Genomic DNA, 18,068 nt, shown 5'->3' on the forward strand with positions numbered 1-18,068 from the left:
CCTGAATCACTGTTTTGTAAGTTAGTGGGAAGTATCAGAATGTTCTGGCCTTGACTAAAGAAGCCTCTGATTTTCTTGAAAGTGAATTTCTAGCCTAAATGTTACCTTTGATTAAGTTGATGTAGTAGGTTGTGTTAGGTAAGTCTTCTAAACAACCTGCATTTTTGTCTGCTTCTGTGTGACTACCTCAGACACCACTGATACCCACAATTTCTTCTTTTTAAAGGACGATTAGAATACCATTCCTCTTTCTTAGAACCCTTCCTTCATGTGTCACAAAGGAATAGCCAACTATTTGGATTTGCCATAGTTCGAGATTGTCAATTTTTCCATTAGCAAGTAGAAGGGAAAATCTAGTAACTTTGAACCCAGATAAAATTTCCATCAAAGTAAAACTGTTGTGTTTTTTTTTATTTCTATATGATAAAGTTTGGATATATTGACAATAAATTCCACTAAGATTCTTTGCAAAGATTATTGACATTTTCAACTAGAACAAGGGGAGGATTAAATTACTTATATTAGCTTTGAGAAAATCAGATACATTTACTATTCAGAAACAATGCAGGAAGAGCTTAATTTCCATAAAATTTACCTAGAATTGAGAATATTTTAGCATTAAAAAAATCAAATTTTACTATCACACTGGTTTTTAAGTAAAATTAAAACATAATTTTAAAAGAAAAAATCAAATTTTATAGCTCTAGTAGTCTCTGGGGGAAAGTCTGGTTGAGAATATTTTGTCCTGCTTCTCTTTTTCTTTCAGCTGTTTGCTTTTTTGTCATTTCTCTACAGGTCAACCGAAAGTTGATGGAATTTTCACTCAAACTATTTCGCTACTTACTAGCAAAACTGGGGAAAAAGCATGGAAATGATTTGACATCAGTGATTTAAAGTAAAATGTTAGATGTGTGGATTTAATTTAATTGTTTCATTCCTGACTTCCTTGATTGTATAATAATTTAATTGCCACAGAGCCCGTTCTTCCATCAAAGAGTCCTTGAGATGGCCTCTTTGTGAAGCCCATTCGCCAGCATGGTGGACACATCAGGAGGAGCACAGGCAGCCTTTGCTGTTCAGGTCGCTCATCTTTTCTCTTCCTCTACTGCTTTTTCTGCATTATTACTCCCATCTGTCTGTATCATCTCCTCAACTAAATATTAAGTTTTTTGAGGTCAGGATCTATCTTAAGTCTATTTTCTCTGATAGTATTTATCACATCCTCATTCTTATAGTAGTTGTTCTAAAAATGTTAGTTGGATGAACAGATAAAGTTGGAAACTCATGAAATTCTCCCTAACACCTTGCTTTTTTATTTGTCCTCATTTAACAATTTGCCTTTTTTTTTTTTTTTTTTTTTTTTTTTGAGACAGGGTCTCACTCTGTCACCCAGGCTGGAGTGCAGTGGTGTACTCATGGCTTACTGCAGCCTTGACCTCACAGGCTCAGGCAATCTTTCTGCCTTGGCCTCCAGAGTAACTGGGACAACAGGCACATGCCACCACACCTGGATGATTTTTAAATTATTTGTAGAGATAAGGTCTCATTATGTTGCACAGACTGGTCTTGAACTCCTGAGATCAAGCAATCCTCCTGCCTCAGACTCTCAAAGTGCTGGGATTACAGGCATAAACCATCACACCCAGACACAATTTGCCTTCTTAATAAAAGCATATTACTTTTTGTTTTCCTGATGAGTAGAAATAGAAAAATTCCAGAAAATATGAAGATAGGCAATGCAAACATCAACTATAATCTTATGCCCAAATATTACTATTATTATTGGGCATATTTTTCAGCAGTGTTTTTTCTATGCATGTTAATGTATACATGTGTAATTTTTTGGTTCTGTTTTATTGCTTGCGAATGTATTATATTAACAGTTTTCTATGCAACTTTTCTCACCAAAGCATAATTAACATTTTCCCCATGACTTAAGACATTTTTGGTTATATTGTATTCCATCATATGAATAGACCATAATTTATTAATTAGATAGGCTCTCTTTTAAGTTGCAGAGCCAACTCAACCTAACTGAAGCAGAACAAGAAGGACGGATATTTATTACAAGGTGAGATAGAACATGACATGAATTAGTATGATCCCAAGTCTACAGTGAGAAATGGCAAAGGCAGAGTGACTAGATAGAGTTGTAAGGAGAGATTACCTCTGGCTGGGACATAGGGCTTCATAAGGGAGATGGTATTGATCTGGGCACAAAGGAGAAGTAACAGTGGTAAAGACTTACATGTTTTAAGTGCTGCCCGTGTGATGCCCTATTCTCATCATTTTACATGGATTATTTCATTCAAAACTTTTGCTCTTTTTACTTAACAGTTACAATGAAACATTTCCCCCATGCTTATCAATTAAGACATTTTTGGTTATATTATATTCCACAATAAGAATACATTATAATTTATTTATTAATTAGGCTCCTTTTAAGTTGCGGAACCAACTCAACCTACCTGAGGCAAAACAAGGGTTTTTTAAATCATCTTTATTATAAGATACTTTCATTCCCATTTCACAGATGACAAAACTAAGGAGAGTTACCCATGTTCAATTAGGATTTTGACATCCAGACAGGAGAAATGGGGGCTGAGCTGGGTGATGTAAGCAGAAAGAGGCAATTCACCAAAACCAATAGCCTCACCAAAAGCATCATGAACCACATACATCTACACAATATCACAGTGAGTCTGTTCCTTGGGGTGCGTTTCGTTAGGACCTGCCAGATGGAGAAGACAGGAAATAACTACCTTTCACAGTGGCTCTTTAATGTGGTTCCCCAAACAGCCACCTGCGCTACCCATTGCAAGGAACTGAGGATTTCAAGTCATCTCTTGAAACTTCTGTGTGACAGTTTCTCCCATAACGGCTCCTTAGTTGAAGATCAAAAGCCACCAGACATTATAACATACAGCCAAATTTTAATAAATGATTTCTGCAAAGATGGGTAATTGAGGTAACACCAGAGAAATATACACACCTACAAAATAAAAGCTAAAAAATCTTACCTTATTTCTGGGTCTTTAAATGTGGTGTATAACCTGTTAGAAACATGAGTATTGGTCAAACATGCTATGATGAGCTGGTTCTTCTCACTATCTGCCTAAGACCAAAACATAACTCTGGGCTTTGCAGAAATCCCTAAATGCCTCTCTAGGCTCATTCTTGCCTCTTTGCATCATAATTCACAATGCATGTGAGAAAGTTCTAATTTCTTAGTTTCCCTTGGCTCACTTGTTGCATGGAGGGAGCCACCAACTGGAGGCAGCAGCCCTAGGCTGTTGGAATGGCTGCAGTGGGTCTGTCTTTGAAGTCTTACCCTGCAGTTATCTCTCATTGCACCAGGCAGGCTGTAAGCAAGCCCGTTGCATGCAGCTGTCACCATTTAAGCCAGCATGCGTTTGAAGATGTGCCGCCCCTCACCCCTTGTGAGGGAAGCCAGAATAGAACAAAGTGTGGTGTTCCCATGAAATCATCTGAGTGCTTGATAAGAGTGTGAGTCTGCACCTTTTCCCCTTGACGGAAGGAGGTTGGGAGAAGGGGTCAGGGAGGAGACAAAGCTCATATTACCTCCTCTTTGCAAATGTCCTACACAGGTAGCTGTAACTGCCACACTTTAAGGCAGTTCTTGATGGTTCTTGATGACAAAAGTGTGCATATGGTAGAGATGGTGATGATGGCAGTGGGAGGGAGGTGTGAGGGGAAGACAGGTCTCAGGATTTCTGGTGGACTCGTCATGTGGGCCCTTACCAAGCAATTTTTCTCGCCTCTTCCCTTCCTTGTTCAGAGCACAGTTGAGACCCCAAATCTTCACGCTGCTGTCGAACATATGTTCTAGAGGAGTGGTGAGATAATGTCGCAGCCGTTGAGGCAGTAAGCATTGGCTGTGGTTTTTGATTTCCTCACCATGTCTTTATCACTTGATGAATGTATTAGTCTGTTTTACCCCTGGAGTAGGAGCTAGGACATTTTTGCCATCTCTTTTTCCCCACTCCCATGCTTCATCTCTTAAAAGAAAGTGGCTGCTCAGAAGAGCACTGAATTTACCCAGACCTCCCAAACATCCCGTCAAAAGCTTCTTCCTTCTGGGTTGATTTATCTGTTGCTGCAAATATGATACCACACATGGAGAACTGGCGCTTGGCCTCTGAGAGCAGCTCCTTGTAACAAAACTATTTACAGGATCCAGGCAGGGGCGAGGCGCGGGCAATGCGCTGGAGGGTCCGACGTTTGCTTTCACTGACCAGCTGTCCTGCTTGGTGAGCTGCCCTTGCGGCTGACTTCACAGAGAAGCCAAGCAACCAAGAGCAAATTGCTCATTTTACAAACAAAAATGCAGACAGTAGGAGAGCCTGTATAAGCTGAGTTACAAATTGCTGTCAGGCCTGCGTGGGCAGTTGGCAGTCAAGAATGGAGCCTCAGGTTCTCTGCCTGAGGGGAAGGAAGGGAAGATTCCTGTTATTCACACTGGAAGGACAGTGGAGGAATTCCTGGTATGAGAATTGTCCGCCTCTCTCTGCATCTGCAGACACCATGTGGCTGGCCTGTTGGTGGCCGGGGAGATTACATAAAGGGTTGGAAAGCTCACAGTCTTTGTGAAGGATAAACATCTTCCCTCTGCCACCAAAGCAGTAGCAATTGTGGTTCCAGGATGGGAGGTTTCAAAACAAAAATAGGCCAGTGCTATTGGCATTGCATTGCCTTCAACAAGATACCATCAGCTCTCATCAGAGAGCAGTTTACTAGTTTCTGGATAACCCGGGCCTTTATTCTTCCCTCCCTACTCAGGCAGAATCCTAGAAAGGAAGTGAAATTTGATCTGGGCAATTTTTCTATTTGTAAGTACTTTATAGAAAAGGGTTGGCTACAGAAATGACTCGAGCTACTGACCAGAATTCAGTTTATACATGATGTGTGTCTCTAAGTGGCATTGTCCTCTTGGAGAGAATTCTGAGAGCAATCAAAAGGCTTGGCCAAGCAGGTCCTGGGTCTCTCCATCCACTCCTTTCAGCTTGAGTCCAGTGAAACCTAGAGCAGGGTTGGCTCATTCCTACTTTAGCATTTTTGGTTCTCAGAGACATCCTGTGTTCCCTCTCAAAGCTCTGGGCAATCTGAGGAACTTCTGGGACCCTCTTGCTACAAGGTGTGTCATAGTCTTGGTAAAAGTAGCCCCCAGAGTCAAGAAGTTCTCTGAGGATTAGGAACACCCAGGATGAATGGTTGTCTGAACTTGCTGATTCCAATCAGTATATAAGAGGTTGGGTGGGTACAAGGCTATTTCTGGGGAGAAATGACAGGAAGACCATGAGTCACTCATAGAACTCATACTCTTCATCGACTCTGAAACGCATCACAGAGGGAGTGTGGCACACTTCGCTGGGCTGTACTCTCCAAATCTCTCAATTCACATACTTCTGTTCAATCTGTGGTGTCAGAATGAGGCCAGGAGAGTTCAGGCTGCAAAAAACCTGGGTTTGAATTCTAAATTTTCCACTTAATGGATGTTGTTTATCCTTTCTGAGAGACACGCTTGTGTGATCTCTAAAATGGGGACAGTCATATCTATCTTAGAGAACTGGTGAGTACAATAAATTAGGTAAAGCTTATAAGGTCTAGCACCATGCCAGGCATATAATAAACACCCAACAAATGTAATCTCCTTTTTATCTCCTATTCTCCCATGTCCAAGATCAATTAAGAATAGGCAATGAAATATGGCTTTTTATTAGTTATTTGAGACATTAATCTTAAAGTCAAGCTAAACTAGATCAGTCTGAGAGGAAAAGAATGGGTGACATGCATAAAGCCACCCAGTAATCTCCTAGGTCTCACATCCAGCATGTGTATTTAAAGCAGAGGCTGAACAAGTGAATCAAGGGCAGCCGTGCACGCAGGTGGTTTTCATTAGGCATGGGTGGCTGTATAATTTGGAGAAGGTTCAGGGCAGGCTATCCAGTCCCATGAGGGGGATGTGGATAAAGGGTAAGGGGTAGGCCAGAGACTAACCCCTGGGGAAACGGGGTGTAGAGTAAGACTCATTCATAGGAGAAAAAGGGCAGGAACCTAATTATTGGGGAATTCGAAATCCCCTAAGACAGAGCAGTTCTGACCTTATTAACGACCTAGGAGTTTCAAATTAAAACACACACACAACTATGAAATGAGGGTGATATAGCTTTCCTATAATATGTAGAAAAAGAACTTAAGATTTTATTTGACTCAGTATGAGTCAATAGTGTGATATGGCCATACATTCTGGGTAGCACTTACCAAAAGTATCATCTCTAGCTCTAGAAAGAGGACAGCCCTGCTTTGTTGGAGTGCCCAGAGACACTGAGCACATCGGTAGGTGAGCAATGAGATGAGGGGGTCGGAAGCTGACCCATGTGGTGAAGGAACTTGGGAGGTTTAGTCTAAAAAAAAAAATCAAGAGCACATAATACTTATCTTCGACTATCTGAAAGAAAGTGTATCAGTCAGGGCTTGTGGCTGCTAACAACAGAAATGGATTCTGTCTAACATAGTCAAAAAAGAAAGTTGTGGGAAGGTTATTGGGTGACTTGTGGGATCATTGGAAAACTAGGGAACCTGGAGGGGAAATCACACAAGAGCCAAGGGAGGCTGGCAGCAGAAGATAGAACTGTGGTTACTTTCTAGCCCGGTTGCTGCCCCCGGGACCACCTCTACCACACGCTTGGGGCCACTGTTGCTAGGCCTTTCTCTGCTTCCACAGATAGTCTTGGACTGTCTCCCCCTGCCCCATATTACAAATCCTACTCAGAGCTTTCAAATGGCTAATGGCCATGCACTTGCTATCTAAGAGTGAGCAGAAGGAATACCCAGCCCCCTTTGGCTTCCATGGTGAGAAGTAGGGCCCTGCCTCCCTCTAAGATGTATATAATTGAGACTAATTCCAAGAGAAGGAGAGGGTTAGGGGCCTGGGCAGACATGAACAAACAAAAATGAGAAAGCAAAACCAGCAAATGTACACTACAAGGTAGCAATGTGCAATTATTTGTGTAAGACCCTAAGACGTAGGAAAAAGAACAAGGGACATATGCATTTGGGAAGCAGATATTCATTTGATTTCAAAATGTATTTCTTTCTTTCTTTCTTTCTTTTTTTTTTGACGCAACATCTTGCTTTGTCACCCAGGCTGGAGTGCAGTGGGGTAATCTCGGCTCACTGCAGCCTCCACCTCCAGGGTTCCAGGGATTCTCCTGCCTCAGCCTCCCATGTAGCTGGGACTACAGGCACGTGCCACCATGCCTGGCTAATTTTTTTGTATTTTTAGTAGAGACGGGGTTTCACCATGTTGGCCAGGCTGGTCTCTAACTCCTGACCTCAAGTGATCCACCTGCCTTGGCCTCCCAAAGTGTTGGGAATACGGGTGTGAGCCACCACGCCTGGCCCTCAAAATGTTTTTCTAATGAACACAATGAGGCTAACATAACTGAGCTGCTTTTGGTGGTGGTGAGTGTCTCATTCCTGGCAGAATGCAGGAGAGGGCTGGTGACTACTTGGTGAAAATTTTCCTCTGTAATAATACATTTATAGTCATAAACCATCTAATAAAAGACCAATGCATTTATCTCTAAGTTTTTGTGTCTAAATTACAACAGAGGAAGAGAATATTCTAGAAATTATCCTATGGATTTTAAACCCTGGACCTTAAAACAACTCACATATGCCTAGGTGCAAGTGCAGAAAAAGCAATGACTCTCTTAAGGATGAGGGGTGGGTAAGCGAGCGGGTGGTGAGCATGTGTTTTCTTCTTCCCCAGTAGTGTATGACACTACCTAAGCCAGGCATAGGCATATCTGAGGTGTGGAAAGTTTCAGACTATAAAATCGGTCCCTAAAACCTCCAAAAGACTGGTAGATAGAAATGGGCTGGGGTTAGAGGAAAGGGAGAGAGAATACTTCTATTGCTCCTGATGCCAAAGACAGATTTTCCACCCTCCTCCTGCTTCCCCATCTTCCCACCTCAAAGGGCGACACTGGCAGCTAATTGCACCTGGCACCCATGGAGTGACACTTGGGGTCATTGATGTTTGGCCATGCCTCTGCCCAGTCTCTTTACTTTGTTTGCTTGGGCCAATTTCTTCTCTGTTGCCCATAAATATTTACAGCTCCTACATGCCCTTGCAAATTGGATTAATCTTAGCATATTTCTGGGACAGTGATGCCCCTGTCCAACCTTAGTTCTAAGGAATAGGCAGAAGCTTTTTTTTTTCTTTTTACTGAGTGAAAAGCAAAAGGGGAGAAAGAGAGAGAGAGAGAGAATGAGAGGGGAGAAATATGGGGGTGGGGTTGGAGGAAAGGGTGAAAAGAAGGGAAGAAGAAACAGAAGAAGGCAGGGAGAAAGGGAGAACAAATATGAAAATATTTTAAATGTTGGCCAAATGTCAAAGGAAATATGTGTTCAATGTTTGGGGAGCAAATCAGGAAAATGGGACTTGCTCAGGGATAGTATCAGTGCTCAGGTCACGGTTGAGATTAGGATGGGTGTAGAAATAGATAGTACCGTAATCTCAGTTCTAGAGAATGATGTCAATTACCTGAATCTTCCTCCATAGGTAAGAGAAGGAAAGAAATGTCTCACAATCCTTAGGATATTCTGGAAGTAAAAGCACTGATAAAGAAGTTTCAGAGCAAGGTTATTAGTGTGAATAATTACCATAATCATTCAGGTTTTATTTAGATTCATATGGTATCTTCGGAAGTGGAATTTTAAAGCAGTTGAACTGCCAGGCACTCCTTCCTTGCAAATTTCAAACTGCCTGAGGTTTCTATATTTTCAGATATTTACCATTTTCTGTTAAAAAAAAATGCCTTCCCTGAAATGTTGACTGTTAGCGAAATTTATCTTTTCCTTCAGTCTTCACAGGAATGTAGGCGATTAGCCACGGAGCCCTTCTCTGTCTAGCATCAGGCATCAGACGCCCAACTATACAGAGGCCATTTGAATGGAACTGCAGAATAATCTTCAGAAGAAAAAGCAAGCTCACATGAGTGGCAGCAGCCCATTGTGCTGAGTTAAAGACGCTGGAGAGAGTCTGGTTGGCGGTGGGGAGGTGTGGTGTTGATGACAATGATGGGGCCGTGGCTGGAGAGGTTAATGTCAGTCTCACAGACCCTGTGTAATTAGTATTCCTTATTACATCCTAATTAAAGACCCTTAACATCTTAAAATTTTAAGTATTTTTGTTTTGTTAGAAGCAGAAGACATTTAAATCCTTTAAACCCAAACACTATTGGGAACTCCAATATATAAAACCAATAATATCCAAAATTTATATAGCATTTTCTGTGTATGAGGTTTTATTTATACTAATGTATTTAATCTCCATAACCCTATAAAAAGTATTATTGTCATCTCTACTTACAGGTGTGGAAATTGAGTAACAGAAAAATTAACTTGCCAAGATAACACAGCTAGTAAATAGTAGAGCTGTGATTTGAAGCCAGGCAGTGAACTTCAGAAATCCTTTCTGTTGATGTGGGGAGTGGAGGACTCCAGACCCTGCCCATTTGGCCTTGCCTCGTCTCTTTTTACTCTAGAAAATGCTGTGGCTCTATCAAATACAGCTCAAAAAGCTACTCATCCAGTTCAACTCTCTCCTTTGAAAGATGAAGATATTGAGACCCAGAGAGGTAAAGTGACTTCTCTAAAATCTCACAATTAGCAAAACAAGGTTATTTACATCTTGTTCCTTAGGTTAAAGACTCACCTGATTTTTCTCTCTCTACAAGCAGATTGTGCATATTTTCTGTTGAAAAAAAAATTCCTTAAGGGTGTATAACAGCATCCTAAAGAGAGCTTAGATGGATGCAGGAATCTGATGAATGTCCAAAAGATCAAAGAGGAGCTTGGGGGAAAACCCAAAATTAACTCAATTATCTCTTGCACTTCCTCCTACTTGTTGTATGAAGCATAGAATAAGACTAGTGCAAAGGAGACCCGTCATAAATTCTCATCATTCACTTATCCAGCAAATAATTATTCAGAGCCCACTATGTGTCATGAGTTGTACACACACAGGTACATACTGTGTGTCACATACTAGACACTGGGACACAGCAGAGAGTAAGTCAAGTCCCTGCCCTCATAGAGCTGTTGGATGACATAAATGAAAAAGTCCAGGGTGATTTCAGTCTTCAGGAATGGTCTGATCAGGGCTCTGCTTTTTTCTCTCAGCCCTGGCTCTCCTCTGAGTACTAGCACCTGTGGAAGGACTAACTGACTCTACCTGGAGATGGTCTTTAGAGGGCTTTGAGCCAGTCTGTAGCCTGGCCAGCTACCTCACAGCTGTGTGTCATTGGCCACTGTAGACCAAGTGAGAGGATGGAGGACCTAGAACAAATCCATTGCTGTTTTGGAGACGTTCTTGTCTTCCTCACGATGAATTAGAGGATTAATTTTTTTTTAACTGTAACAATTTTAAGCTCTGTGTCTCACTTCATGTTTATGTAGTGAGTACATGTTATATCTTTCATTTCTATGGAAGCATATAGGAAATTTTCAGGGACTGATAGCCTATGTTTCTGTTCATAAACTCACTAAGCGATGGTCTGTTGGATGAAAACTCCAATACTTGATGATTTTTTTTCTTTTTTTTTTTTTATTTTTGAGACAGGGTTTCACTTTGTCACCCAGGCTGGAGTTCAGTGGCATGATCAGATCTCACTTCAGTCTCAACCTCCTGGGCTCAAGCAATCCTCCTGCCTCAGCCTCCCAAGTAGCTGCTTAGGCATGCACCACCACGCCTGGCTAATATTTTTGTATTTTTAGTAAAGACAGCGTTTCACCGTGTTTCCCAGGTTGGTCTCAAACTCCTGAGCTCAGGTGATCTGCCCACCTTGGCGTCCCAAAGTGTGAGCTACTGCACCTGGCCTGGGATTTTCAGATTCAGTTCTAGAGCATGCTGATGACACAAACTTTAGTAACAGAAATGTGGTGATTAATAATGTTATATTTTAATGTGGACTAAATTATATGTAATGATGTAATCATTTTAAAAATATTTATTGAACCATTTTTTGTGTTCGTTTGGAAGCTTTTGATTGCAAATAACTGAAACTGAGTTCATGGTGGCTGAAGATAGTCTGTTAAAGATAATCTGTTGGGAGGCGTAAATGGGAAAGTCCAGGGTGATTTCAATCTTCAGGAATGGTCTGATCAGGACTCTGATTTTTTACAGTTCTCTCATCTCTGGCTCTCCTCTGGGTGTTACCTTTATTTTCAGGCTGGCTTTTCTCCTGGTAGAAGAATGGCTGTCTTACTTTGCAGCTCATATTCACTCTCAGAAATTCTTCCTCCCTCTGGAAGAATTTATCCTCAAATCAGCAAACAAAGGTCTGTGCTTCACTCCTGTTGAACCAGCTTAGGTCATGTGCCTTCTTTTTCAAACCAGTCACTGTGGATAGGAAATCAGGATCATACTCCTTGGAGTTGGAGGAGAGGTAGGCAAACCCATACAAACCACAAAGCTGCTCTGCAATGGAGGGGAGGTGCGCAATGCTGGGAAGCAACACAATTCCACTTCAAAAAATACACTGTGCTAGGCTTTGAGGTTACCACAGTGGACAATCCAGTCTAGACAAACACGCATAAACAGATCTTTAAAACATTCATGGCTGAGCACGGCAGCTCACACCTATAATCCCAGCACCTTGGGAGGCTGAGGCAGGCAGATCACGAGGTCAAGAGATGGAGACCATCCTGGCCAACATGGTGAAACCCCATCTCTACTAAAAATACAAAAATTAGCTGGGCGTGGTGGTACACACCTGTAGTCCCAGCTACTCAGGAGGCTGAGACAGGAGAATCGTTGAACCCAGGAGGTGGAGGTTGCAGTGAGTAGAGATCGCGCAACTGCACTGCAGCCTGGTGACAAAGAGGGACTCTGTTCAAAACAACAACAACAACAACAACAAATTCATAGCACAAGTTTGAGAGGGAGGGGGCACATGAGGTGGGGCAAAACTCCAAACTGTTGCTCTGATATTTCTAGAATGATTTCCTAGTTCACAGTACACCATGAAGGAATTGCACTGGGAGTCAGAGGGCTTGTTTATTTACACCTCCAACAAATAGACTGTGTATGAGACAGAATTAGAGGAGGTTCACTATGAGAATTTATAAGCTTTCTATTTGATTCTGCTTTAGATTTTCAGTAGGAAGCAATTAAGCATCAATAATAGAATATATTTACATATTTGGGAAAATTGATCCAGGCGATTGCTTTGTGTCTTAAACCTAAGTCTTAAGCAGGCTGCTTTTGCCTGGGCATGGCAAAGGGAAGGAGAGTGTGAGAGTGTGCCACGGAGCTATTTCTCTTGTTGTCTGGAAATGTTCTCTGCAGCACACTGTGTCTGTAGAGTTTACCAACTTGGCAGCAGGCAGGGGAGACAGGACAATCACTAGTGAGTCCACCGCAACAGTAGGGCTGGAAGTGGGATGAGAACTAAAGGGGGAATCCTGAAAATTCAGTTTCTCACGAGTATGCCTGGGGGTATGCAGGCCCTGTCTATTCAGTAGGTACATGTTGTATATTTCATGGAAGCGTGCTCTCTTCCTGAAAATCTTTAAATTGCTGTCTGAGTAACACTTGTGAGCTGCATTTTGTAGATTTCTAAATTATATGCTGCTGTAGCATAAACAGTGATCTTTGTCTTATTCACAGTCTTAACAAAGACTCATAGAAAGACAGCACAAGAATTTTGATGCTCTAGGGTGATAATACCAAATCTTATTCAACGAGGCCTCATAGAAGTCAGTGCCCTGTCTCTAGTCCATCATTACTACTGCTATGGCTGTTACTGCCAAGGCAGGCACACCAATTATTTATCAGCTCATTTTGAGATTCTTGGTCAACTCTGAGAGAACTATAAAGATGTGAAAAATTAGGTATTGAGGTTGAGAGGGAAAAAAAGAAGAGTTATGCCAAATGTCCATTTTATAAAATTCCATTTAGAACAAATTGTGCATTTTTCCAATGAATCATCATTATAAAATTGGTAATTTGGTACAATGTTTCCATTTTACTAAGGGAAATAAGTACTAGTGGATCTCAGACGACTTGACAAAGGAGAAATCTTTTCAGAGAGGGGAACAGGGTTCCTTTCACTGCCTAGTGTCAGATCTTATAATCCCCCTAGTTAATAGAACTACGGATGTCCTCAAAGAAACAAAGGGATAGCATTCTGCCCTATTAAATGTGTTTCTGCATTAATCTAGGAATTGTTTGTTGATAACCAAATGCATAGCAACTATATTTAAATTTCAGAAAATTACAATTAGGTGTCTTTGAATAAAGACGAAGAAGAAAGAAAGGAACCGAAAGCTATTAAGTGGAGCTTCTAAAGTCGTGGCTAGGTGCTATTTCAAAACAAACATGTCAGCACCATCCCAGTTAAAGTAGATCAAACCTTCCAGTTTCTTCAGGAGTTGTACTTGGAATATGAAATGGGAATTTTGTTTAGGGTTTTTCAGGTGCGATGTTTTTTAAAAATTTTGCAAGTAATATTTTGAATGCAGTTGCTTTTGAACAGGGCAGCGGGGGAAGCCAAGTTAGGTTAACAGATCAACCATAGAAAATTCAATAGGGTCTTTTGCTAGGCGAGAGGGAGCCTGTGGCTTTGCCATGTGGTCGTGCGGCTCCACCGAGTTGCTTTGCCTGTTTTGCAGGGGTTTGTGGTGTGTGGATTCACTGACACTTTGGTGGCGGGAGGCTGACGATGGCTCTTCGGCGGGCTCAGCCGGCTTGGCACAGTCTCAGCTCTGGGAAGTCCACGCTGCTTTACAAAGAGCAGGTGGGCGAGAAAGCTCAACACTGCAGGGCAGATTGTGCAGCTGTGAGAGGTGGAATTCCCCTCAAAAGGATCGGCACTGCTTTGAAAATAAATTCATCATTAAATAGAAGGATTTCTGAAGCAGTAGACGAACACAGGGCTTGATTGGTTTCAAATTAACTCTTTGTACTCATCTTTCATTCATCCTTTAAGAGAATGTCTCTGCTTTTTCCAGAGAGGTAGCACAAATAATCCTTGACATCTTTTCGAGGAGGAGAGTGGTTCGCTGGAGCACTTATGCCCCTGCATCTGCTTTCCATTCCCCCTGCATCTTGCTGCGCTCAAGCGTGGCAGGGAGGGACCCTCACTGCAATTCAGGCGCTCTGTTGTGCTTCATGTTCAGTATTTTTTTAAAAGTGGGATTTGCTTTTCCCTGGAAGGAGAGTCTAGGCTTACGCTGAAGGTTAGAGGGAAGGGTGGCATTTTCCTCTCCCCTTTCCGTGTCATCCCCTCTTTCTAGGTCAGGGTCTGCACTCCTCCCTTGGCCTCCCTCTCCCTCCTCCCTAGGAGCTAAGAATGGCCTTGCTTCTGTTCTTGCTGCTAATTTACAGCCTTTTCTCTCCCCGTGGAAAATATCTGCTAACACTGTCTTCTCTGGGGGAGACTATTTATATATCTGTTAAAAGTGTCTTTCCTCCATAAATCCCATAAACAATTAAATGCGTAGCATGATAGCCTGTGGAAACCTTTCTGGCTACTTAAGCGAAGTTTCCTAATCCTTTTCTACAGCAACCCAGACCCAAGCGCCGTGGCCCATTCATCTGCTGTTGCTCCTCAAGCACTTTGATCTCGGGGCTTCATTACAGCTCATTTCAGCATTAAGGATGATCTGAATTCATGAGCTCTTCCCTTCCTAATAAGTGCCATTCATATCCATCCTCAGGAGCGACCACAGCTCACGGGAAACTGGTTCAAACCACACGTGAAAGAATAATGGACTAGCTTCAAACACAAGTGAAAAATGGGGTTTTTATTAACCAAATGAACCTTTGAATAAAATGCTTCATTAAATAGAGGATTCTCATTTTCAGGGCACTGTTAAATCTACCAGTTGCCATGCTGAGATTGGTAAGTGTGATTATTTCATTTTTTTTTTTCCAGGTGGATACCCTGAGGTGGAGAAGAGACTGAATATGCCCACTGCATCCAAAGCAAGGCTGGAGCTGACTTGAGCTTACTTGGCTTCATAAAGCTTGAACACCATAGATGCTTTTATATGTCTTTCCTGTTCGATTACTCTGGATAGAGTGTGCTACTCCTAACACAAAGCAAAACCAAACCAAAAAACAAACCTCTCTTTTTCATTTCCTTAAAGAAAAAAGAAATTTAATTTGGATTCAGATAATACCCTTATAACTTCTAAGGCAGTCAAGCAAGGAGGGGAACAGATAATTAGGAGATGATGGGAGCCAGCACAAAGCCAAATGGAAGAAAACAGGCACACAGTAAGGCGGCAAAAGCCACCACCTAATCCATTAACAGCCTGCACTATAATTACGCTTGGCTCTGGCATTAAACTGGTGAAAGCACAAAGGAGACACTATTAAAGTCTTAATTCCCACAAAAGGAAGCTCATCCTGTGTAACAGCAAGTACTGTGCACCAAAGCGGCACCTAAATGAATATTATGGCAAATTCTAATTTAGCACTTAGTAGGAGCATTCCACAAAATTGCAAAAATAAAGAGGAAGAAAGCTGAACGTGGTAATTCATGCCTGTAGTCCCAGCTACTCAGGAGGCTGAGGCAGGAGGATTGCCTGAGCCCAAGAGTTTGAGGCTAGCCTGGACAACATAGCAAGACTTTCATCTCTACACAAAATTATTAGCTGGATGTGGTGGCATGTACCTGTAGTACCAGCTGGTCGAGAGGCTGAGACAAGAAGATTGCTTGAGCCCAGGAGTTCAAAGTCAGCCTGGGCAACATAGCGAGACCCTGTTTCTCAAAAATAATTAGAAAAATAAATAAAGGAGAAGAAAAGACTAGGTGGTGTTTCTTTAAAGGCAGTTCTTGCTGTTGCTCTATGGGTTCACTTTCTCCCCAACCCCCAACCTTCTCAACCTTTCTCCAACCTCTCCAGCCCTCCCCAGCCCTCCCCAGCCTGTGTCTCTGCCCTCCCCAACCCCTCATCGTCAGATGGTTTTAAGCATGTGGCTTCCTGAAAGCTGTGGGTCAGGAGGTAGCAGCAGGCCAAGTCTTCCTCCTTCGGCAGAAGGAGGAGCAGTGTGAGGTGCAAGTGGGCAGAGGCAGAGACTGAAAGTTCTTGAGGAGAACAGGTGTGAGGCCACAGGAAGCTCCACCAGGCACCTGGCTGCACAGTGACTTTTGCAGTGACAGTGCTTCAGCCTCCTTCCACGGGACCGCAGGATTCAAAATGGCATCACCTCCACTTCTGTCAATACATCCGCAAGAGGGCTAGCATTCAAATTAATGGCAGGGAGAAGATCTGCAGGATCCCCCTCACTGAGCCTTTCAATTAAGCATACTGATTAGATCTTAGATTTCCTTACCACATAAAAAGACGAAGAGTTTGCTAATGCGAGTGGTTTTTTTTCCCCCATTTTGACCCAGCCCGATGTTTTTAATTTTGCTGTACCCGGTAACCAAGTACGGATGCCGCACTGCTGCTGGAGCAGATGCAGGACACACGGGATGCTCCTTCTACCCGAGCCCTTCTCCAGGGTCAGGCCTGAGAAGTAGCACGACCTCTGCATGTTGTATTTGTCTCTGCCCATGAGGCAGTTTCAAAGGGATTACCATCAGTCCCCCTGAGAAGGGGCCATCATCTCTCTACAGTTGGCTCTTACTTCCCGCCCTGTGGACTGAAGCAGCCAGGTGGGTCAGGATTTGTACATCGTTTTTCTAGTCGTAAGTTAAGGTGCAAACAATTCCCCTTTCTACAACAGGTAAAAGAAAGAATATCAAGACGTTTATGTGTCTTTCATGACAATCACTGGAACAAACTTACTTCTCTTTCTCTCTGTGTAAGTCTTACAATGAGACTGCTTGCCAGGACATTTTCGGGCTAAATTCAAGTCCCTGGGGGGCAGATGTCTTAGAAACAGAGTTGCTGTGCCAAATATCAGCACAATGCCTTAGAGTACAAACAAATGACTTCGATCCTGAATAGAAAATCAATGTTAATAGTCTAGCTTCTTAACAGTCACTCCAAGGCCTAAATGGTTTGGTTTGATTCTACACAATTTATATGTAAAACTAATTACCAGAACTCTCTTATTTTTGCTATGTTGACTTGGCATAGGACACCTAAATAATTAGTCATTTAAATTGGCCACAACAGGCTCAGAAAGTCTTGGGAGTGATGGGACGAATATACCCATGTCTTTGGAACTCATGATGTTGTAGGTATGCTACAAAAAACTGGAAGGACCATTTTTATCCAGTTGCTTCTGATTCCATCACAGAGAAACCATCGCAATTTGCCACGTATTTCTCCATCTTCTTTTGACTTTTGCATAATAAATGTACTGAGCGCAAGAGGTGAGGTGGGTCGGTATTATTATTAGCATTTTAGAGATGAGGAAGCTGCAACACAGAGTAGATCAACTTAGCCATGGCTATGGAAATGAACTCATATCCGAAACCTCCTAACTGCCAGCCCTAAGAAAATAGTGGTTAGGAATGGAAGTTCTGCAGTCAGGCTGCTTTACGTAAAATGCTGGCCTTTATGTACTTAAAAAGGACAAGCTAGTCATTGTACCTCTTTGATCCTCAGTTTCCTCCTCCACAAAATGAGAGTATACTAGAACTATCTCATCAGACTGTTGTAAGGGTTAAAGGAGATAAGGATGTGAACCTCTTAGCACAGTCAGTTTAATACATAGTGAAGAGAATATCCAATAACTTTATTATTGTTGTTGTTACTCTGAGTACTACTACTACTGCTACTACTGATGAGGAAACTGAAGGTCAGACATTTGAGGGACTTCCATAAGGAAAGCCACACAGAAACAGACCACAGCAAGGCCATTTTTCTCCTAGCTTTTGAACTCATTCCCTCGTAAGAACTCTTATTTCTTTTCCAAACACAAGTATGAATTCCCTCTGAACATCGTTGTTATTCAATTTAGTCTGTTTTCTAAGAATATACATATTTTAAAGCAGGATTAGCTGGCAGAAGCAGTCAAAAGGAGAGCTGGTTGGAGGATTCATTCTAATACTGATTCTAACATAAAATTTAAT

At 42.1% G+C, this 18,068-nt stretch overlaps 1 long non-coding RNA gene across 1 annotated transcript; it reads left to right on the forward strand.

The window, feature by feature from the left end:
* Window positions 1–8,892: 8,892 nt before the first annotated feature.
* On the forward strand, window positions 8,893–15,847 carry LOC124900753 (uncharacterized). The gene is made up of 2 exons (XR_007058222.1): window positions 8,893–9,668; window positions 14,970–15,847. It is a non-coding gene; the product is annotated as an uncharacterized LOC124900753 (long non-coding RNA).
* The last annotated feature ends 2,221 nt before the right edge of the window (window positions 15,848–18,068 follow it).

This window comes from Homo sapiens, chromosome 4 (genome assembly GCF_000001405.40).
Source record: "Homo sapiens chromosome 4, GRCh38.p14 Primary Assembly".
Classification (NCBI taxonomy): domain Eukaryota; kingdom Metazoa; phylum Chordata; class Mammalia; order Primates; family Hominidae; genus Homo; species Homo sapiens.